At 38.0% G+C, this 23,730-nt stretch overlaps 1 protein-coding gene across 20 annotated transcripts in view; it reads right to left on the minus strand.

Moving 5' to 3' along the window:
- SOX5 (SRY-box transcription factor 5) overlaps positions 1-23,730 on the minus strand; it is a 1,033,147-nt gene that overhangs the window by 817,032 nt on the left and 192,385 nt on the right. For 19 of the 20 annotated variants that reach the window (XM_024449159.2, XM_024449158.2, XM_047429458.1 and 16 more), the window contains one exon: positions 22,028-22,104. The gene's annotated coding sequence lies outside the window, so the exon portion shown is untranslated. Of the gene's footprint in view, positions 1-15,321; positions 15,466-22,027; positions 22,105-23,730 lie in introns of all 20 variants that reach the window. The other variant, XM_024449153.2, reaches the window with a different exon arrangement.

Below are 23,730 nucleotides of genomic sequence, written 5' to 3' on the forward strand. Positions count from 1 at the left end.
CCGCCTCCCAGATTCAAGCAATTCTCCTGCCTCAGCCTCCCCAAGTAGCTGGGACTACAGGTGCGTGCCACCATGTCCAGCTAATTTTTGTACTTTTAGTAGAGACGGGGCTTCACTATGCTGGCCGGGCTGGTCTCAAACTCCTGACCTTGTGATCCACCCGCCTTGGCCTCCCAAAGTGCTCGGATTACAGGCATCAGTTACCGTGCCTGGCTTTTTCTTTAATTGACAAAATTTGTAAAAATTTGTGGTGTACACCGCATGTTCTCACTCATAGGTGGGAATTGAATAATGAGAACACTTGGACACAGGAAGGGGAACATCACACACCAGGGCCTGTCGTGGGGTGGGGGGATGGGGGAGGGACAGCACTAGGAGATATACCTAATGTAAATGACGAGTTAATGGGTGCAGCACACTAACACGGCACATGTATACATATGTAACAAACCTGCACGTTGTGCACATGTACCCTAGAACTTAAAGTATAATAAAAAAAAATTGTGGTATACAACCTGATGTTTGATAAATACAGTCAGCCCTCCATATTTGTGGGTTCTGCATTCATGGATTCAGCAATCTAGGATAGAAAATATTTGGGGAAAAAAATTCCAAAGTTCCAAAAAGCAAAACTTGCATTTGCCATGCACCAAGTACTAAGTTGAATCCATGTGAATGAAGTGATGTACAGGCATTGTATTTGCTAGTATATGTTAATCTAGATATAATTTAAAGTATAAGGGAGGACGTGCAATACTATACCATTTTATATCAAGGACCTTGAGCATCCTTGAAATTTGGTATCTGCTGGGGTGCTGGAACCAATCCTTCAAGGATAACCAGGGATGACTACACACACTATGGAACAGCTAAATCAAGCTAATTAATATGTGCATTACCTCACATGCTTATTTTTTTGTGATGAGAACACTTAAAATCTACTCTCTAAGCAATTTTCAAGCAAAAAAAATTCTCATTAACTATAATCACAATAATATACAATAGAATTTCTTGAAATCAGAGTTATCAATTCTTTAAATAATGACATTTTCATCATAGGAAATAAATGTGTAAGGGGATTTAACGATAAAATATGTTTGAATTTAAGCAACTTTCACTTTTTAAAAACATACTTAAGAAAATGTATCTAAATGATGACAGCTGCCACTTTGACAAACTTTTAAATTCTGTATGTTAACAACTGTAGGATGTGACTACAGTATTAAACTATCTGTCATGAATTGGCACTGCTAAGTGCAGTGCTAGACAGGTTTTAGCAAAGTTAGCAATACTAATTACTTAAACTAGGGCCTCCAGAGTCTCTGAAATCACTGTAGTAAGGATTGATGAACCGACCTGGCCCCAGAAAACTTCCAGAGATGCTTTGAAGTACTTTCAAGTATAAAATGAATGCAGTGTGTTAAGTAGTGGTTCACTGCTATTTTGCCAAGACAGACGGATATAAAGGGAATTTTTTTCAGGTTGCAATTTCTTCAGAGATAATACAGCTAATCAAAAAAAAAAAAAAAAAAAAACAGAAATTCACCAAGTTAACACACCACTTCTGAATATTTTTAAAATGAGTCTTTGTGCAATGAGAGATATTTGAATCATGGCATTAAGAAGTGTGCCAATTACCAGTTTCAAAATAAAATGGATACTCTAAAGTTTGCGATCTCCTAAGACACAGAGTCTTTGGAAATAAAGCCAAAATGTCATGATAATGCAGTCCCAAATTCTTGTATGTCTACTGGTCCTTCTATAACCAGACCCCGCCTACCTTGCTTCAAGCTCATCACATGCCTCTATGTTGCAGCTCTATTGACTCCTATTTATTTATTTATTTATTTATTTATTTATTTGTTGAGATGGAGGCTCACTCTGTTGCCCAGGCTGGAGAGCAGTGGCGTGATCTTGGCTCACTGTAACCCCTACCTCCCAGGTTCAAGTGATTCTCCTGCCTCAGCCTCCCGAATAGCTGGGATTACAGGCACATGCTACCATGCCTGGCTAATTTTTGTACTTTTAGTAGAGGCGGTGTTTCACCATGTTGGCCAGGCTGGTCTGGAACTCCTGACCTCAGGTGACTCTGCCTGACTTGGCCTCCCAAAGTGCTGGGATTGCAGGCATGAGACACCACACCCAGCCTGCTCTGTTGACTTCTGATATGCTTTGGCTGTGTCCCCCTCAAATCTTATCTTGAATTGTAGCTCCCATAATCCCCATGTGTCATGGGAGGGACCCAGTAGGAAGTAATTGAATCATGGGGGCGGGTTTTCTCATGCTGTTCTTGTGATAGTAAGTCTCATGAGATCTCATGGTTTTATAAAGGGCAGTTTCCCTACACATGCTCTCTTGCCTGCTGCCATGTAAGACATGCCTTTGCTCCTTCTTCACCTTCCACCATGACTGTGAGGCCTCTCCAGCCATGTGGAACTGTGAGTCCATTAAACCTCTTTCCTTTATAAATTACCCAGTCTCAGGTACGCCTTTATTGGCAGTGTGAGAATGGACTAATACAGCTTCCTTTTCATTTAAACATACCCAGCTCTTTCTCAACTGACGGATTTAGATTTGTGGATCCCTCTGTCTGGAGATATTTCGCTCCTTGGCTTTTGACGGAGCTGGCTTCTCAGCATGGTTCATGTCTCAGAGACGTCTTTGCTAAACAATTCATCTAACTCATCCCCTCTCCCCAGTTCCCCTCTGTCTGTACTTCCTTTAAAAAACTGTTCATGTGGTAAAATATGCAGAACACAAAAAGTACCACCTTAACCATTTTTAAGTGGACTGTTTAGTCACATTAAGTACATTCATATTGCTGTGCAACCAATCTCCAGAACTTTTTCATCCTTCAAAACTGAAGGTCTATAGCCCTTTGACAATAAGTCAATTTTCTCTCCTCCCTCCACCCCCTGGCAACCACCATTCTGTCTGTCTCTATGATTTTGACTGCTTTAGGTACCCCACATAAATGGAATACTCTCAAAGACAGTATTTGTCTTTTAGTGACTAGCTTATCTGACTTAGCATCATTTCCTCAAGGCTTATTCATATAATAGCATGTGTCAGAATTTCCTTCCTTTTTAAAGCTGAGTAATATTCTGTTGTATGTACATAACACCTTTTGTTTATCCATTTATCCACCAATGGACACTTTGGTTGCCTCTACTTTTAGCTATTGTAAATTATGCTTTCATTAACATAAATGTACAAATAGCTCTTTGAAACCTTGCTTTCAATTCTTCTGGAGATATATACACAGAAGGGGGATTGCTGGATTGTATGGTAAATAATATGTTTAACTCTTTGAGGGACTGCTGTACTGTGTTAGACAGCAGCTATATCATTTTACATTCCCACCCACAGTGCATACGAGTTCCAATTTCTCCACATCTTTGCTGACACTTTTTCTTTCTATATTTCCATTTTAGCATGTTTCTATCTACCTTTGCTCATGCATTCATTTTCTTATTTCTGGGGCAGTTTTGGAGACAAAATTGCCAAAGGAGATTGAGAAACCAATCTAAAAGATGGAACAGATTCTTTCTGAAATGGTTTTGATGTAGTCTGTAATTAAAACAGGCAACAGAATCAAGGAAAATTTAATATCCTATTCATTGAGCACTGACTATTGAAAGTGCCAACACTGAAAAGGCTCTTGTTTGTTCCTTCTGTAGAAACCTTAGAACTTAGTAGGGCGTAGGGCCCAGCCAGCACAGAGATCTGCTCCCTCTTTCTTACTTGCTCCAGTGACTTTGGTCATTTTTTGTTTGTTTGTTCTGTTTTGTTTTGTTTTGCTTTGAGACAGGGTATTACTCTGTGGGCCAGGATGGAGTGTGTCTTACTCTGTCACCCAGGATGGAGTGCACGATCACAGCTCACTGCAACCTCAACCTCCCAGGCTCAAGAATCCTCCCACCTCAGCCTTCCGAGTAGGTGGGCCTATAGGCACGTGCCACCATGCCCAGCTAATTTTTGTATTTCTTATAGAGATGGGTTATTCCTGTGTTGGCCAGGCTGGTCTCAAACTCCTGGGCTCAAGCGAGCCTCCTGCTTTGGCCTCCCTTAGTGCTGAGACTACAGGCATGAGCCACTGCGCCTGGCCTGGTCAGCTTTTAACCTTAGCTTTTTTATGAGAAAAATGGAGATAAGGGAATCCACTTATGGAGGTGGTGTGTATATGTGTGTGAGCATTAAATGACCATATCTAGGACATAGAACACACTAAATAAGGCTAGGTGCAGTGGTTCATGCCTGTAGTCCTAGCTTTTTGGGAGGCCAAGGCAGGTGGATCACTTGAGGCCAGTAGTTCAAAACTAGCCTGGCCAACATGACGAAACCCTGTCCCTACTTAAAATATAAAAATTAGCCGAGTATGATGGTGCACACACGCCTGTAATCCCAGCTACCTGAGAGGCTGAGGCATGAGAATTGCCTCGAGCCCAGGAGCTGGAGGTTGCAGTGAGCTGAGTTCATACCACTCCATTCCAGCCTGGGCAACAGAGCAAGAGCGAGACTCTATCTCAAAAAAGAAAAGAAAAGAAAAGAAAGAACTCAATAAGTGGTAGATATTACCTCAAATTATACAACTGATTATCCTTTATATTGTTATACTACAGGATTTTTCCATGCAGTCTGGAAATTTACATACCATCTATCTACTGTCTTGTAGAGTATCTAGATTAAATTAAAATTTAAAAAAACTATATAAACTTGCTCAGCAGTCACGATTCTGTACTTTATCATCTGTACCCCCATCTCTGTCTTGTAGACCATTGTATTCCCAGCCTAGCAAAAAAATTTGACCCAGAACAGACACGTAAATTATCGAATATCTCTATCAGTGATTATAAATATGCCTCCTAGTTATATATGGGAATATTCCAGTGACTCCTAGAAAAAGAGTTAAGAATTTGAAAGGAGTTCTGAAATCTTTCTAAGAGGCAGTGCCAGATCATTAGCAGTTTGTAGAGAGGCAGTGAATTGGAGTGGCCTTTAGGTACCTAGGTTGAAAGAACAGCTTAATTCCTTTCCTCTATACTTAAAGTATCATTTTTATTGTTATTAAAAATTGCTAATGTCAACTGAATGAACACATTACCCAGTTCACGGCAGCCTAAGTTGCTGAGGTAAGAAATTATAATGATTAGTTATTGGAGGGAAAACCATTACATGAATACAATGGAGAGTCACAGAGCAACAACTAGATAATTTCTGTCTAACTATTGGGTAATTAATGCAGTAAGAAAATAACATGTACATATTGGAAATGAAGAATTATAGATTATTTGCACTTACTTTCTTTCAGTGGCAATTAAATTAACTATCTTTGATTTCTCACCTGTTACCATGGTTATTTTCAGTGATCCAGGTCATTAATGTCTTGAATATAATAGTTACCTTAAAATTACAGCTCTTTCAACTTTGTGAAAGATTCTAAAGGGACTGTGAAAGAGAAAGCTGCTGGCTCAGAGGAAGAGAGCTGCCTATTGAAGGCAATGGTTTAAGTATCTTGAAAGCAAAGAAGTCCCACATTGTGTTCCTTCTTGGTGTTGTCCAATAGTATCAGATTTATTTTGAGGAGTATGAGATTTTGTGAGCTTAGGATAGCAATGAATGGGCAGGTGTTTTCACAATAGTGAATTCTAACTGGTGTTTTCACAATAGTGAATTCTAACTATGCTACTGACTAGCTACATGGGAAAGTGTTAATTTTTCCACCCAGTGATGGAAATAACGAGTTCTCTCTACTTGACTACTGAAAATTTTGGGAATAGATTATATATTGATTATATAATGAGAAACAAATACAAAGCAATCCTCAAATGGCTCTTTCTAAAAAAAAAGTTGAATAACATATGGGGCTTCAGTGGAGTCACAACAGCGGGGTCCCACAGGTTCATGTCATGATCATTCCCGTGACCTTCCTCTCTAGAACAAATGACCCAACATTCAGGGCTGGCGGCGGCTAGAGGTGAGAGCCATGCTGTAAAAATCGAAACTCTACTTTGCTAATTCTGGTTTTTCTAGTTGACTTCTCTTTTCAAAAGTTATTTTACTCAGGCACTGATTGGTTTTTTTATCTAGTCAAATATTAACTTGTCTGGGCCTTGATATTATGTTCCTCAGATCTTCATCTTCTGTCCTCTTATTACATACCTTCTCCTTAAAGCTATCATCAAGTATCTCCCTAACATTTGCAGACCCAGGACAAGAGAACAAATGGGTGCCTTCCCTCTCTGTGGCCAGTCCTTCTCAAACAGCTGCCCCTTGGCCATGCTTCAGCCTAGAATTGCACACTCCAGTGGTGAAATATGACCTCTGAAAGACAGACTATGGAATAAGTGTGCACGGGCCTCACTGGAAAGTTGGCAGGTACAAGGTCTTTGAACAAAGAATTATGAGGTATGAGATACCTGGAGCATGTCTAGAATGGGGCTCATGAATTTCTCACATGCCCAGGGGATGGGGGTGCAACCAGAAAGAGCCTTGTAATGCATGAGGTGCATGACAGGGGCTCCAGTTTCCCAGGTCATTACGTTGTATGGAGAATATGATATACTTAAGGTGCAGACAGTAATAAATACCCTGCTGTAACTAAACCCCATTGGTCAAATCTTACCCGGCTCTATAAGCTGCCCTTATTGCCAGGACGCTGTGTCAATGTGCTGTGTCAAGACAGGAATGTGACACTGATTCACCAGGTCAGATCTGAGAGGTGTGTACCCTCTATGGAGCAACCCTTTACTCGAACAACTGGGGAGTCCAGAATCTGGAGTCTTCGTTTCCCGTAAAGAAACTATGGAAGGGCCTCTTCTCTACTCATATTTCCTCTGTAGAACTACACACTTTTTTCAAGAGTGAAGCAACAGGCCTAGAGCAACAGCTCTCACACTCCTCTTCAACCTCAGAGGAGTACAGAAAAGTTTGAAGCTAGGAGTTCAGATGTTTCTGGGAAAGAGAATGCAAAGTGAGGGCAGATGGAGGGGTCGACATTCCTTGCTTTAGAAAAATGATAATGCTTTGCATAGACTAAAAGACTGGGAAGAGTATGTGTTGGGGGTGGGGGTCTTCCTGCATAAGGGAGCAGTTGCTTCATTATTATTCTTTTTTTTTTAGGGGGATGGAGTCTTGCTCTGTCACCCAGGCTGGAGTGCAGTGGTGGGATCTTGGCTCACTGCAACCCCCGCCTCCCGGCTTCAAACAATTCTCCTGCCTCAGCCTCCTGAATAGCTGGGATTACAGGCGCCCGCCACCACGCCCAGCTAATTTTTGTATTTTTAGTAGAGACAGGGTTTCACCATGTTGGCCAGTCTGGTCTTGAACTCCTGACCTCGTGATCCACCTGCCTCAGCCTCCCATAGTGCTGGGATTACAGGCGTGAGCCACCACGCCCGGCCACCTCATTATTCTCAACAAACACTTGAAGAACCTACTATGTACTACTGTTACATTGAATAATGAGGAAATCAGTGGTGAACAAATTAATTGAGATCCCTACCCTTACCAAGTTTATAAGTCTTATAGATTAGATTAAAACTAGCCATTCTATTGATATGAAATTATAGACTGTGAAAAAATGCTCTGGAGGAAAATGCAAGGTATGAGAGCATACACCAGGTAGACCCAATCATGTCTGGAATATCAGAAAATGTTCTCCCAGGGGAATGTCAATTCACCTGATCTGAAAAGGATGAACTAGAGGTGAAGAATCTCCTAGCAGAAAACAAACAAACAAAAAACAAAACAAAAAAATCCCTCAATAGCCCTAAGCTGGGAAGGGAGTGCACCATGTGTGAGAAACTGAAGGAGGCCAGTGGGTCTGCTCTGCAGAAGGTGGGGGAGAAGGATAAGGGAGATCATATGGGGCCTTGCAGGCCAAGCCATAGATTTAGGTCCTCAGCACAATGAAAAGCCATTGATAGTTTTCCATTACGGAAGAGCTATGATCAGATGTGCAGGCTTAAAACCTCTGTCAGTACAGAACATTTACTGGAGCAGAGCAGCTGCTTGGAAAGACTCTTGACTGGGAGGATATTCCAGAATCCAGGCTTTCCTGGACTGGCCCAGGATGAATGGTGATGGAGATAAAGAGAAGCTGACAGATGAACAATATTTTAGGGGGCAAAATCAACCCAGGATATCAAAGATAAATGATAGGAAAGGTGACCATTGGTCTCTAACACAACAGGATGTCTGGTCGTATCATTTGTGTAATAAGCAAGTTTGGATGGGTAGAGAAGAGTTCAGTTTGGCCGCAGATAATCTAAAGGGCGGAGCAGTACATTTTTATTTTAATGATTAAATTTGTGCGACTGGTATCATGAAATAAGAGGCCCAATCAAGGATGCTTAAATCAAACTGGGGATGAGAGGGGAGATTCTTTGACTTTTTGGCATTTTTTATTTGTTTCCTTCTAGTAACTTAAAAAAAGCTAATATAAAACAATGTGTGTGTATTTTAACTAAGTTTAAAATTTTAAAACCTCGTTAATGAAGTCACAAGATTTTAGGGGTGGAAAAGATCACAGAAATTGTATAGAGTTGACAAACTTTGTCCCCCCAAAGCTTATGACTGGACCCAAATGTGTAAATGAAAATGTCAGAAATCAGCCAGATTCATAGAGATCACTGCAGCAGTGGCAGCAATGCTTTGTGCAATATCAGGATAGTGTGGTTCCCAGCCAGCTCATCACCAATATCACCTGGGGTTCAGGAGTTAGCAGGTGTGGTGAGGGGTGCATCTTTTTTTTTTTTTTTTTTTTTTTTTTTTTTTTTTTTTTTTTTTGAGATGGAGTCTCGCTCTGTCACCCAGGCTGGAGTGCAGTGGTGCAATTTCGGCTCACTGTAAGCTCCGCCTCCCAGGTTCACACCATTCTCCTGCCTCAGCCGGTGAGGGGTGCATCTTCTACAAACAGATGCTGGGCCCCCTCCCTGGAGATACACATCCTAGCAATCTGGAAGGGGGCACCCATGGGCATTTTAAAATGCCTTTAAGGTGATTTGATGATAGGCCAGATTCAGGGCCCACTGTGTTTAATATGCCACGATACCTTTCCTTAGATCATTTTATAAGATTATTACATTGATATTTTAAAAACAAACTGTTTATTTTTCCTAATTAAATGTTTTCTGTTCAAAGGCAAACAAAACTGTTCATTATGAAAAGTATTCATCACTGGTATGAGTTCAAAGATTTTAAATTCAGGGTTTGACACAGAGGTGAATGGTAAGAGGCTTATCTATTTCTGGGGAAAAATTACTTATTTCCAGACACAAAAAGATCCAATATAAATAATTCCCTTTTACGAAACAGAAATCCCTGGCTGTGCTAAGATTTTTCTAGAAATTTAGAATAGTTTAGTACTCCTAAGAATAAAATGTCTGATTTAGGCATTTCACTTTGAGCATTTTTTTAAAAAATAGAAAGATGCAATTGGTCAAAATCCAGCCCAATTTATTCTTTGTGGATTTAAAAACATTCAAAAGGATAAAAAAGGGGAGATATTTCACATAAAAGTGGACATTTTTATTAAACAGCATTAATATCAGATTTTCTGCAGAATATAAACAAGATAGCAAACTTGAAAAACTGAGCAAAATTGGATATTACCAATATAGCATAAAATAATCCCTTAAGTATTTATAATCAATCTAGACTCCAGTGAAAGGAAACACAGAGATCAAAGTTAAATGAAGCAATGATTAGGGACATAAAGGAAGGAAAGAGAGAGGTGCAGGGATGGTAGGTAGGGAACCAGCACATCTGGCTTTAGTAAAGAGATGAATATAGTGAGTTATTTTTTGTCTGACTGACCATTATGCCACAGAAACATGCAAATGCTTTTCTGGTTTCTTTCTTTGCAGATTCCATAGCACCTTTGTTTCTCTCTGTTCCTCCTCCTTCCTCTCTCTCTCTTTCTCTCTTGGTGGCCATTAACTACACTGACAGTTTGACAGGCTGAAATAACGAAATAAAACACTTAAACATTGTTTCCTGATGTATGCATTCATCTCTTCTGCCAAACACAGATATTGAGGAGATACTTCACTCCTCCTGTCAGCTCACTAAATTACACCCCAGCTCGCAGGCAACACCATGCACAGGCCTCTCAGTCTCAGCGCACCTCAGTTCCTACCAGAAGAATATGCAAGGACTTCATTCTTTTCACCCAAATCTTTCCTTAATACTGAATTTTCATCAACAAATTGGTGTTTTCTGTAAAAGCTGATTATTTTCCCATTTTTAAAAAAACCTCTGAATGTAATTTTATTTTGTAGGATTTCCAATTACTTGGACTTAAGTAATGGCAAATGAATACTAAACCATCGGTTACATGTTATATCTTTCTATTAACCAATGAAGAGTTTTGACTTTTTAAAACTAGATACTGACCATCCCAAACATTAACCCTTTTGACAGATCCAGTGGCAGAGAAAAAAGGCTGATCATGACACCCCAATGTGTACCATGAATAATAGATGCTTCTTTCATTCTTATTTGCACATGGCAAATAAAGTCAGACTTCTATAGAGCAAACTTTGAATGTCTTACAAATAATAATTTCTTCCAGAGAAGTTTGGTGTGGATTACATTTTGAGAGACTAATAGATAAGTGGGGCATGGTGGGGAGAAATAATGACTTTCATTGGGTTATTTATCTTCCTGTACCGCCATTAACATGAAGGAGGAGAAATTTCGAGGTGAAATATTTAAGAAATTTTTTTAAGACAAGAGAAACAAGACTTTAGGACCTCTTCCTTGCTGCATGCCTTCAACAGCATTTATTTAGTGCCTACCAGATGCAGTGCACGAGTATAGGTTCTGTGCAAAGATGGGAAGGAGAATCACGCATGTATCCTGCCTGCCTCCTCAGAATCCTGCAGTGATGAAGACGCCATCATCACAAGGAATTAGAATGCAAAGCAGGAGGTTCCAACGGAAGCACAGGGAAAATGCTACAGAAATTAAAAGGAGATAAGACTACCTACCCCACCAACCACAATTGAAACTGTACGCCTCAGCCAGGCTCGGTGGCTCACACCTGTAATCCTAGCACTTTGGGAGGCCGAGGCGGGTGGATTGCCTGAGCTCAGGAGTTCATGACCATCCTGGGCAACACGGTGAAACTCCATTTCTACTAAAACACAAAATCTTAGCTGGGCGTGGTGGCGTGGGCCTGTAATCCCAGCTACTCTGGAGGGTGACAAGAGAATTGCTTGAACCTGGGAGGCGGAGGTTGCAGTGAGGGTAGATTGTGCGACTGCACTCCAGCCTGGGTGACAGAGCGAGACTCCATCTCAAAAAAAAAAAAAAGAAAGAAGAAAAAAGAAAGCCTATTGAAATTGTATGCCTCAGTTTAGCCAAAACACCAAACAAATTTTCTATATTTTAAGACTTACATACTTTATTACAATCCCTTGTTTTGGGTTACCTACCTCCTTTGTCTGCCTATAAAATCCATGCCTTGTCTACTTTGTTCATTACCATATTTTCAAGACTGGCACAGTGTGTGGCACGTAACGGGCATCCAATAAATATTTGTTGAATGGATGAGTGAACTATTTTGTGATAATAAGAAGCAACTGAATCTGATTCTCTACAGGATGGTTTTCTGAGTTTCTTACTATCTTATTGAAAATCACCAATAAAACAGATGGGAGGTTTGTGTAAAAATGTGGGACACCTCAATAATTATAGATACTACATTTAATTAGCAAAATTGCTAAAACATAGCCAGGATCGAATGACTATTTTTATATAAAATTGAGGATTTCCTTTTACCAATAAGAAGCCTTCTTTGCAATCCAATAATCATTAGTGATTACAGTATTAATCACAAAGGTGATGCACAGGAAAATTCTCTGAAGTGTTCCTTTCTCCTCTTTGTTTTGTATCTTTCCCAAGAAATAATACTTAACTGCCAAAAAAAATTGTCCTTTCGGCGCCAATGGTCCCAGCTACTCGGGAGGCTGAGGCAGAAGAATGGTGTGAACCCAAGAGGTGGAGCTTGCAGTGAGCCAAGATCGCGCCACTGCACTCCAGCCTGGGCAACAGAGCGAGACTCCATCTCAAAAAAAAAAAAAATTGTCCTTTCACTGTCTTCCAAGAATGGTAATTTAGTTGTTGCTAATAAACATTATCAATAAAAGTGGAAGGTTACTACAGCAAGGATTACAAAGCAATAAATGGCAAGCATAGGTCATTAATCAAATCCACTTGAAGAACAGTTAAACCAGATAAAGTTAATTACCTTTACATTCAACTATTTGCTATCTAAATCATTTTGCTTCGTCAAACATTATCTAAAATAATATTTGCTACTATTTATTAAGCATTTATTTATAGACACTCTGGATAGTATTACATACATGCTTCTTCACTAAAGTCTCACGTTTACCTTAGAAAGGAGGTATATATCTATCCCCACTTCTCAGATAAAGAAAGTGAGGCATCAAAATTGTATCCTGGAAATTGAGGAATCCAAGTCCACCATGCTTTGAACCCCAGAAACATTTCTACTCCAACTATTCCATGCTTATCAGTACATAATGCAGTGACTACGTTTGCTTTGGCTTGAAATTCTCATATATTTCAAAAGGAAATTCTTCTTGGTAGTAGGGACAACTTTAAATTGAGCTTTTTCAAGTCAGTATAATGTGCAAAATACAAACTTAGTTACCTGAGTTGAAAACTATATCACATTATCCCATGAAAGAAGTCTTAAGCGATCTGATTCAAAATATCATTTTGATTATGGTGCAGAGGATTACTCATGAAGTTAAGGCTGGGTGAGGGCCTTGATGCTCCGGTCTTGCCGTTATCTGATGGATGAGTTAGGACACACACCACAGGATAATTTTGACTAATTTATCTACAGGCATCTTGCTCTTGCTTTCTCCCACTGTTCTCTCAAATGTCTTGGCAACATAATACCTTTTGAAATGTTTACAAGGGGCACTAAAGAAAATGGGCATGGAGGAAGAAGTTGTTCTTCTTGCTCCCCCTTAGCCATACTTTTGGGAAGAGATCTGAATAATTCAGACTCCAAAAACTGTACTCTTTCTATTGCAACATATTGCATTCCAATAATTTCTGCTGGTTTTAAGAAGTCAACAGAAACCCTGCTTTTGCATGCTCTCGTGCTCTTTTCTAAATTTAATTAATACATATTTTATCAAGGGATAAGGAAGAAGGCTAAGATTTTTTGTCATCAGCTTCTAAGACATCCAAATGATTCTAGACATACCCTACCTACTCTTGACCTGCAAAGACATTTGAATAGCCTTGAAAACAAAAAAGCTGTCTCTTTTCACCACACTTACATCATTCCCCAATTCTGGATTTAAAAATAGAATCTTCACTCACAACAACTAGATTTTTAGCTTATAATATGGGGAATAAAGGTCATAGGGAGAAAATGAAGAGGATTAGTGGAATTGTATAGAGAAAGAAAAGGAAGAAAAGAAAAAGGATGGCAGGGACGGAGGGAAGGGAGAAGCTGAATAAAATAAGGGAAGGAGACAGAATCTTTTTGTTATCCACAGCCTTTGGTAAAGTTACTTAGAAGTTTGCTTTAAAACAAAATTGCCTCTTTCAGTACTCAGTGATATTTTATTTCTGTGTAACTTCCTCCTCAAATAGGTTAATTACAGAGGCAATTAGTCTAGCTACACACAGGATGTCACTATTCCCTTATATAAATAGAACCAGCACACATGTTTCAGGCAGAGAAAAATATCTGTAAAGACCAAATTTCAAAATGTTATGGAATTCTGTGCAGTGAGATGCACTTTTGCCCAGTTTGGGTGAAATTTCGTGTTTTCATCATTCTTATTTGATGAATAGTCCTTATGTTTTATTATTCTCATGGAAATTCTTTATGTCAACTAGGAAAATCAGCTCAAATTATCATAAAAAGTCCAAAAAGTAGAGGGATCATGGCACTAGGTAACTGAACAGGAGTAAGGCCTTGTTAGCAAGGCAAATAGATAGGAAAAGGAGAGCTAGAACTAAAAAAGCTAATCTTATTATTAGTTTAAGCAAATATTCTGACCTATGCAGCCTCGAGGTTTTTTGTCTGAGTACTTCATTTTACATATTGAAAGTGTGGAAATTAGTAACTACTGTAGTTCTGAGATCTTAGTGGTTCATAGCGCAAGAGGCTTTTAAAGTGAGCTGTTCTAAAAACTGGATATATGTATCCCTGGGTCGCAAGATCCAGACTGAGTGATACACATGGAATTCACAGGAAAACTTGTTAAATCACTAATAATGGCATCCATTTTCGCCTGAAACCCCTAACTACTGATTATTGTTTATACATTTATCAAAACCAAAATGATAAAGTGCTCTTCAAAAGAATAAATTGCTATATCTAGTACTAAATACATATTCATAGAGGGCACTCCGTCCTTCTTGATGGTAGCTACCCAGGATGACAAAATTGAAAGACGCTGATGACACACTAAACATCTATGGTTCATTAACTCGCTTGTTTACTGTGGTTACAGTGAAAGCAAGGTCTTAGGTCAGCTCCTCGTATCGACCAGCACATTCCTTTCTCTTCTGTGGCCATAGAATATTCCATGCAGTTTTGACTGGCTCTCTCAAAAAAAAGTTTGCCATTGGTCACACCATGGCCTGAGAGAGGAAATTACATGACCATTACAACAACAAAAACAATGCAGATCCCATTTCTTGCTCAGTGATGGCCCCAGTGCATTCTTCTCATACATGAAACACTGCATGTTGCTTATAAATCAACCTAGAAAAATGTATGCTCGAGCCCTGAGATTACTCTGCCTGGGTGTGAATCCCGCCCCACCTCTTACTAGCTATTGAACCATGGCAAGTTATTCAATTTCTCTGTCTCCATTTCCTCAGCTGAAAAAGTGGGTATAATAATACTACCTGTTTCATGGGGTACTGTAGGAGGCTTAAATTATATAATACAAGCAAAGCCCAAGAACAATTCCTGGCACAAAGAAAGTCCTCAGTAAATGACAGGTACTCTAAGTATTCTGCACTGAAACAAACAGTGAACCAACAGTGATGAGGCTTTTTCAGGTTTTGTGTGTGTGTGTGTGTGTGTGCGCATGTGTGTGTGCGCATGCACGTGCGCACACGCACATGTGCATAAATATACAGGTCTTGCATTTAAATTTAAACCCCTATAAGAAAAAGTGGAATTTTAAACGATGGTTAAAATTGACAGGACAAACTGAGCCCTGTAAAGACCTCCATCAGCACTAGAATCTCCCCATAGTCTAGCCTGTCTGGTACAGCAGTCTCTCTGGGATTTCAGTTCAGGCTTACCTGAGTGTACAGCAGCAACAAGGTAGAATAGGCTTTCTTCTTCTACTCCAAGAGTCCAGAGCTACGCTGATGACACAGGGATGGGCAGAGACTGGAGTGATCTCCCTTCCAGAAGATGAACAGTGCCACTGAGAACCTAAATAACTGTTTTATAAGAGATCATTGGCTTTACTGCTTCTGTGTGACCTTTCTGTCCTATTTCCTCTAGAGGGTTTGATGGTGGGTGGGTAAGTCAACTATGCAGCTAAGTCAGCTAGGCAAATAAGTGTTTTGACTACAGTGCCTACAAATATAGAGATATGTGCATATGTATATTCTTTCCCATGCATGCACCAGGATAGCTCCAGAGTATGACAATTAAAAGTACGTTACAGAAGTCATAAGGGGCACATTTGGATATTTCCTTCAATATCACAGCCAAAAAAATAATGTTTGTTATTACAAGTCACACATACAGAGTGCTGAATTCAGTCCCATCATCTTTTCACTTGGGGATTTCCTGCTAAGATTTAGTCCTTTTGTGCAAGACAGTAACCTCTAGGTTTTAAAATTACTGGTCTTGTATTTTCAGTCACCGTAACAGCCTATTTGGACTGACTTCACGGGTAACCAGATCAATTGTGTAGACATTAATACTTAAGAGGGCGTGGGGAGAGGGAATCAACTGGAACACTCAGCCTATAAAATGGACGATAAAATCACTATCAGAATAGACACTATAAACAAAATAGAATTCTTCACAGCCCAGTTCTCCCTTACACAAATTAGTGCATAGTACAACTCAAATCAGCCCTGATGACAGGACTCTGTGATCAGGTAAGGAGTCGACACCAGGAAACTAATATTAACCTGGCTGGTCAGTTATAGGCGTGCTACCCTTTCCCCTCTAACTCAATACTTTAGATGAGTTTGATATTTAATAATTAGCTAGATATTTTATTCAGGGATTTTTCTCTCAAATTCTATAGGATCTCAGAAAGAAAATCACAGTGGGCTAAGAAACCACAGTGAAAAAAAAAAAAAAAAAAGGAGGGCTATTAGCATAACAGCATTATACATATAATAAAGTGTCTTGATCCACCAGTAGAATTAAGTGATTTGCAAGACCCAATTCCTCAAATTCATCATTCACAGATACGTAAAAACATGTAATCAAATATTATTCCTATTACACACTATATAAAAATATATGAAATATTTATTGATATTAAAACATTTATAATTATAGAGCTACTAACTTTATCCTTACTGTTATTTAAATAATGAAAATTCACCTGTGAAATAACATCTACTAAATTTTGATAAGTTGGTTTTACTCATGCTTTTTTCCTGTTTGCGCTGCTTTTTCCCCTTTTCTCTCTCACCAGACTCTTGGTTTTACTGAGCAAAAAAAAATTAGTAATAATTTAGATTCATTTTTTGGCTACATATATTTAATAGTTTCGCCTTCCCCTCTGTCTCTTCTTTCTGCCATCACTTCTGGAACACAGCCAGAAGCCATGCTGGAGCGGTGCCAGCATGCCCTGTTCTTTTGCAATTTGATTGCCTCTGTATACATCTCAGTTAGGCTTACCTAAGTCACCATTTACAATATTGAGTAGAAAGAGCAGGTTGAAATAGTCAGCATTTATAAGCCCACTGGTTACATGATACAAAATATATAGCCAAGTGTAGAATTTATAGCAATAACATTTATGTATCATGTTACTCCTAGGACAATCTAATTTATAAAGTGCCTATTGTGTATACATAAGGAATAATCATAAATCATTTACATTAAACAGTGTCAACTGTTTAACCCAACTTTCCCCCTAAATTCTACAGACTGAGATTAATGAGGATTTTTAAAGGAAGCACATGAAAAAAAAAAAAAGTCTGATTCATCTTAGGTGAACAACATACCCATATATAGGAGCAGGTGTCTGTAGTATGATTTAGAATACCTATGGAACATCTCTGGAAAATATTAACTTCCTCTGAAGTAGAGAAATGTCCATGAAGGTGAGGTGGGAATGTGGCAAGAGCCCAAATCTGTCACCAACCTCAAGCTTTCTTTTATTTCCTTCCCAGGAAAGAATGGATTTAAAACAAACAAACAGAAAACCTTCAGGCCCTATTGGATCAGTTGTCTGACATGTTTTCGTCGGCAGGCATTTTTAGAAAACCTGAGAAAGATTATTTAGATTAGATGCTTTGTCTCTTTGACTCCCAGTTAGAGAAAAATCCCAATCAGTGACCGAAGCTTTCAAGAGTCCTAAAGTGAAACTCAAAACATGTATGTGAATTTTCTCCCTCTGTTCACTCCTTAGCTCATGTCCTATTCAGAGGGGCAATTGTCTTTACTAATCTATGCTTTGGGGTTCTCAATGAAACTCATTCTGCTCCTTAAAAGCCCTTAAAATTAATAATAGGAAATGTTTTTACAATTCACATCTGTAAATGCATTTCGTCTTATCTGAAACTCACACCTACACAGCCAAATTGGACATCACATAAGAAAAATATGGTTTGGATTTTTCTTACAGTATTTTGATGCTCTATCTTCTGTCCTTAGAAAGGACTACAAGAATGACATAATCTTCTTGCCTTAACCTACACCCTTAAAAATATCCATTGATTTGTGTCAGCCAAAACTGAACAACTTAACATTTTTTCATATATATATATATATATATATATATATATATACACGAATAAATTTGTTCTTTATTCTTTACATAAGTGAGAAATTCACTTTTCCTCCAAACTCTATTGATGACTGATACTACTATGGAGAGAATCAATTCCCTAGCTAGGTTAAAATTAAAACTGGAACTGAAAATCAAAGGAAGGAATGCATAGCAAGAAAATCTGTAAATCACTTTTCTGAGAATGAACTACCTGCTGTTTTCTACTCACAGAAAATTGACACTATGTAAACATATGTTGTAACCTAGAAAGGAGAACAAAACAAAATCTATACAAACACAGAATGATCAGAAATCCATGAACGTCTCAGTCGAAGCAAGAACTGGTGGCAAACAGAGGTTTGGGGAAAGAGTTTATTTTCTAAATAACATGTTAATCTTCATAATCAGATACACAATGGCCTTTGTATAACTATTTTGAAAGCTGATCATCCCCCAAAATAGCTGTATTTCAGTGGCATTAATTGGTAGGGGAAAAATGATATATTTCTCCACAACTTGGGTATATTAAACTTGAGGAGCAGTAATGACTCATTTTTCTGGTTCAAAAGTTTATTCATTCATGACGAACAGTGCTAAATTCACAGGGTTTTCATTTGTGCAAAGAGACAAAAGGTGACACACTGTAACGTCTTTATTTAACATATTTATTCTTCAAAAATATCTGGTAAACAAGGAATTCTTTCCCATTTTTGAGTGATATTTTGAGTTGCTCAAGAGGAAAAACTGTTATGCTCAAGTGAAGCAACTTAAAACTCCAGGCTGACTCCTTCTTTCAAGAAAGTAAGGAATCTATGTAACAATAAAGCATAATCATGACTTCCATCTTCCATCTCAGTGAGAGCTACTCTTGTCTTCACCTTGTTAAAAGGTTAATTTCTTCCCAATTGCATAGAAAAATAAATGATCACCATGTAGGCATTTAGAAAGTACCCATGTTTTCCTATGATTGACCTATACCTTCTATCAATTCTGTCTAAATTACTCAATTAAAAATAATTATTAAGAAAATAAGTGACTTCATCAACATGTTCCAAAATAAAATATGGATAAGAAGAAAAAAAATCAGCTAATCTGCACAAAATTTGATATAATTATTGAAAATGATTTTCTTTACAAATTAATAAATAGACTTGATTAATACTTTTTTAACTGAAGTTGAAGAGATCTGGGATACATATAGACACAGGCTTCTATAGCAATAAAAGCTATTGAATCAACATTAGGAAACTTCTTTTCCTAATATGTCTTTTTATGTTGCCAGTGTAAAGTGCTTACCTTAAATAAAAGATTTTGCCTAGTTTTTTTAATACAAATACTAGCAAAGAAGCACCCCCAAGGCTGAACCACTCATTTCCACTTTAGTTAACAAAATGATGTAACTTGCTTTTATTCTTAATTTGGTATTATCATTTAAACTACTTGTTACATATTATCCTCATTTTGCCTCTTTATTCAGGAAATAGTCCCAGTAACAACTCATTATCCTGGATGGCTATGGGTATCAATGCTGTTTTTGTTTGTTCTAGAAGGCATCAATTCAATGTCACTATTCGAATTTCTTATCCTAGAACCCACAGATTGCTAGGAAATCCGAAGGCTTCTAGAATGACATGCAAATTTTCATGTATATGTCCCCATTGTGATTTTTCTGGCAACAATCCATTCTTTCTTTGCTACCTAGCATTAATGCAGCCTCTTTCAGTTAATAGTACCCTATTTCCTTCTGGGATACAAACCCAATGCCTAGTCCATGAAAATTACAAAGGTGATTCTGCTCTCTGCTCCAAGAGAGGGGCACAGGATTATTCAGTGATCTAATCAGAATGAATTAGGACAAAGACACTTTTGATAGGGCTTCTGGAAAAGGCATCTTCTCTTTTTCAGCTTGAAGCCTGAGAGGATGTTACAGTTGAAGCAATGCCCCGCCACCATCTTGCTACCAAATGAAGTCAGAGACTGAAGCTGTATTAGTGGAAACTGAGAGATGGAGAGAAATTGAATTCTGTTTACATTATTTTAATTCAGAAGTTAGATCTGTGCCTGGATTTTTCATATGTTAGTAAAGCACATGCACACACATTCATACCATCCTATTCCATAATATTTGCATAGCTGACTCCTTCTTCAGTGTAACTATTACTGGCTTTCTTTGACCTTTCCTATCTAGTGTAAATTCCCCCCTGTACTCTGTACTCTTGACTGCAGTCCCTCCTACCTGTCTTTAATCTTATTACATATTATCAAAATCACATGCCGTATGATGTTCATTAATTTGGTACAGAGGAATTTTGTCAGTTTTCCAGTCCTTTTCAATTAAATTTACACAATGCAGGATTATTTTCTAGTGGAGAAAAAGACAGAGAGAAAGCAAATGGGTAGAGGAAGGAGAAAAGAAAAAAAAAGGAAGAAAAATAGGCTTTAAAAACTGACAGTTCAAATAGCCATGTAGTTAAGTTTCATTTAATGGTGAAACAAATTGAGATTTTGCTTAGACACATATAAGAAAATCCATTTTGCTTAAGTATCTTTAGCAGATATTAGTAGGAAATAATTTTTATGCATTCTGATCTCAATTACAACCAGACTTAGCTGACATAATTATGGGGCCCCTAAAAGTAACTGCTGAGGTTTGAAGCACTTGCCACTTCCTATGAGCTGGCTCTATAAATGCCAAGAGTGAGTATTTTAAATTAAATGAATAGATTAATAAACATCTTTGGAATATCCATCATTAAGGCTGATTTATGTTCTGTTGCCAGCAGTAATTCAAAGAAATGCCACGCTATTCAAAAAATATTGCATGTTGTCCTACCACTTTGCCAATGTTATGACACCACATAATTATGACAATATCTATATTCTTTTGCAATACTAACTATACACAAAAGCCAATAGATATTAAACCACTTTAAGTTTACATGGGCATCAGCATGGGAACAACTCATATTTATAACTCTGATGAATGGCCTTTCATTTGTAAATTTATAGTGTATCCATAATTTCTTAGGAAACCAAGAGGTTCATTCAAAAAATTGCCACAACATTTATCTATGCAAAGATGATGGATATGGTTTATGTAATTAAATGTTTTTAAAAATTAAAATCATATTGCCAAGAAAAGAGACATGTTCTTTCCTGGTTTCCTCATATTTTAAAATGATCAGAACCGCATTCTCAGCAGTTATGATGTTCAATCTAAACAGTGTATTAACACTTATTAAATACATCCAAATACATCCTTGTTAGAGTTGTGTAGCATTTTCTTGAACTACTAGAAATTAAGTTCAACTTAAATTTCTTATCTTATTTTCTAATTCTATTCCCCTACAATGAACTATAAAAGATAGAAAGCAGCATTAGAATATAATAGTTTTTGTTTATATTTACTGCATTTACTATATTTAGTTCTTCAGGACTACTCAAGGCATCCTGCATGGTTACTGTAAGAAAAAACTATTATAATTTTTATTATGACTCAAATAAAATACATATTTTGGCAAAAATCAACATTAATTAAGGAAGGAAAGATACATTTTATCCCAATATAGACTTTGCTCAATTGGAGGAACTGATGAAGTAGGAGAAGATGAAAGATAGCAATTATCAATAAAGTAACCAATAAAAAGCAGAAGAGTCAATGTTTTATGTGTGAAGAAGAAATGTACATTGTTGCTAATGTGTGATGTGCTTTGGTGGCATTTCTAGTCTACTTTCATTTGCCTTCAAATACACACAAGTGTAGGAAGTACAGACATGTCTCAGTGGCTTTTTAAAATTTAATCTGCCCTATTACTACAGAATCTACAAAAATTGAACCTGTTTTTTATTGATTTGGTTATATGAGAAACCATCTCCAAATTACCAACATTTTTTGGCATTAGTACATTCGGTAAAAGGAAAAATTGTGCCAAATACTTGCAAAATTTATTTGCCAAATTCTTTTTACATATTAGCTCTCTACACACTGCTTAACACAAGCATCATATTAAAAATAACAGAATAAACATTGTACATACCCCAGTAGGTCGCTAACTCCTTGTGGGCAGGAACATATTTTTCATCATCTTTGGGTCACCAATGGCCAGCACAGCACCTGGGATATAACACACACCCCATAAATGAGTTTGCATTCATTAAATGGTACAGTGCTGATTGGATTCCATTTGGAAGGTATGAATTCAACGAAGTAACCATCCATATATCAACCTTCTTCCTGTATATCCTACATTATTAAAGGAGCACTGCACATTCTTATAAATCTAAATGACAACTTTATTCTAAAAACTCCATTCTTGAGAATAATTGCTTCTAAATGGTTATTATATTACATATCATTATACTCTTTCAGTTTTGGTGGAAGCAACCCAGTGAAGTGTTTGAGATGTCCTTTGGAGTTAGGCCAACAGAGGTCCAAACCCTGGTTCCACCACACTATATATACAGTGTTGGATAAATTACTTAATCTTGCTAAATCCAGCTGTCTGTAAAGTAAGGGTAACTGTAGTGTCTTTCTAATAATGTTGTTCAAAGGTTTAAAGGAGACAACGCCTAGCATGCTGTCTGACACACAGTATACCGTCTTCATCTTCCCCCTTCCCTCCTCATTGATGGAGTGAAGAATTAACCTTGGCCAAAGAGATGGGCATCTGCCTTCAGCTATGAGAACATGATCTCCTGAACTCAAAATGTCATAGGAGTGTCTTTGTTTGGCTGAAGGCTTTGGCCACTGAACAGTCTAACAATGTGATTTACAGTGGGTGGTTTGGGCCAAGCAGTATCAGTTTTGCCTCTCGAAGGGGCCAGAAACTAAAACTTTCAGCCCAACACCAACATTCAAAAGGGGTTGGAAACTAAAGGTCAGCCATGTAGGGGACAGTATGTAGTCAAGTCCCACTAAAAACTCTGGACACCAAAGGCTCAAGTGAGCTCCCCTGGCTGGCAATGCTCTGTTCATACTGTCACACATCGATGCCTGGAAAGTGACATATCCTGACTCCATGGTGAGGACAACAGAAGCTCTGTCTCTGGTAATTCCCCAGACTCTACCTTACATATTTCTTCTCTTCGCTGAATTTAATCTGTCTCCTTTTCTTAAAACAAACCATAACTGTGAGTATAACAGCTTTCAATGCATTCTGAGTCTTTCAAGCAAATTGCTGAAGCTGAGGTTGGTTTTGGGAACCCACTAAACCTGCAATTGATGTCAGAAGTGTGGATTATATTGTGCAGAGAACTGGCTTCCTCTAATCTTGACACTAACAATAGAGTTAGTTAAACTTGCCCACTTTCCTCCTTTAAATCTACAAAGTCCAAAAAGCTTCGAAAGCTAGCTTACTTTACCACTCAAGTGAACTTACTAACAAAGATCTCACTGTTAAAATTCACTTTGACTTGATATTTACATATAAATTATATCCCATTGCTTATTTTTTCTCACACAAACAGTAAAAGCCATTCCTTCCCTATTCCCAATAATAGATATAGAAATTGTTTTGGGGTTTTTGTTTTGTTTTGGTAAAGTGAATGGTAGTAACATTTAGAAATGAATGAATCACACACAAGTAAAACTTCTAAATATTATTAGTAGTAGATCTGTCAAGGTCAGATGTTAGAAAATAAACTTCATTAAAAGATGTACTGGTTTTTGGCCGTGCGCGGTGGCTCACGCCTGTAATCCCAGCGCTTTGGGAGGCCAAGACGGGTGGATCATGAGGTCAGG

This window comes from Homo sapiens, chromosome 12, assembly GCF_000001405.40.
Source record: "Homo sapiens chromosome 12, GRCh38.p14 Primary Assembly".
Lineage (NCBI taxonomy): Eukaryota > Metazoa > Chordata > Mammalia > Primates > Hominidae > Homo > Homo sapiens.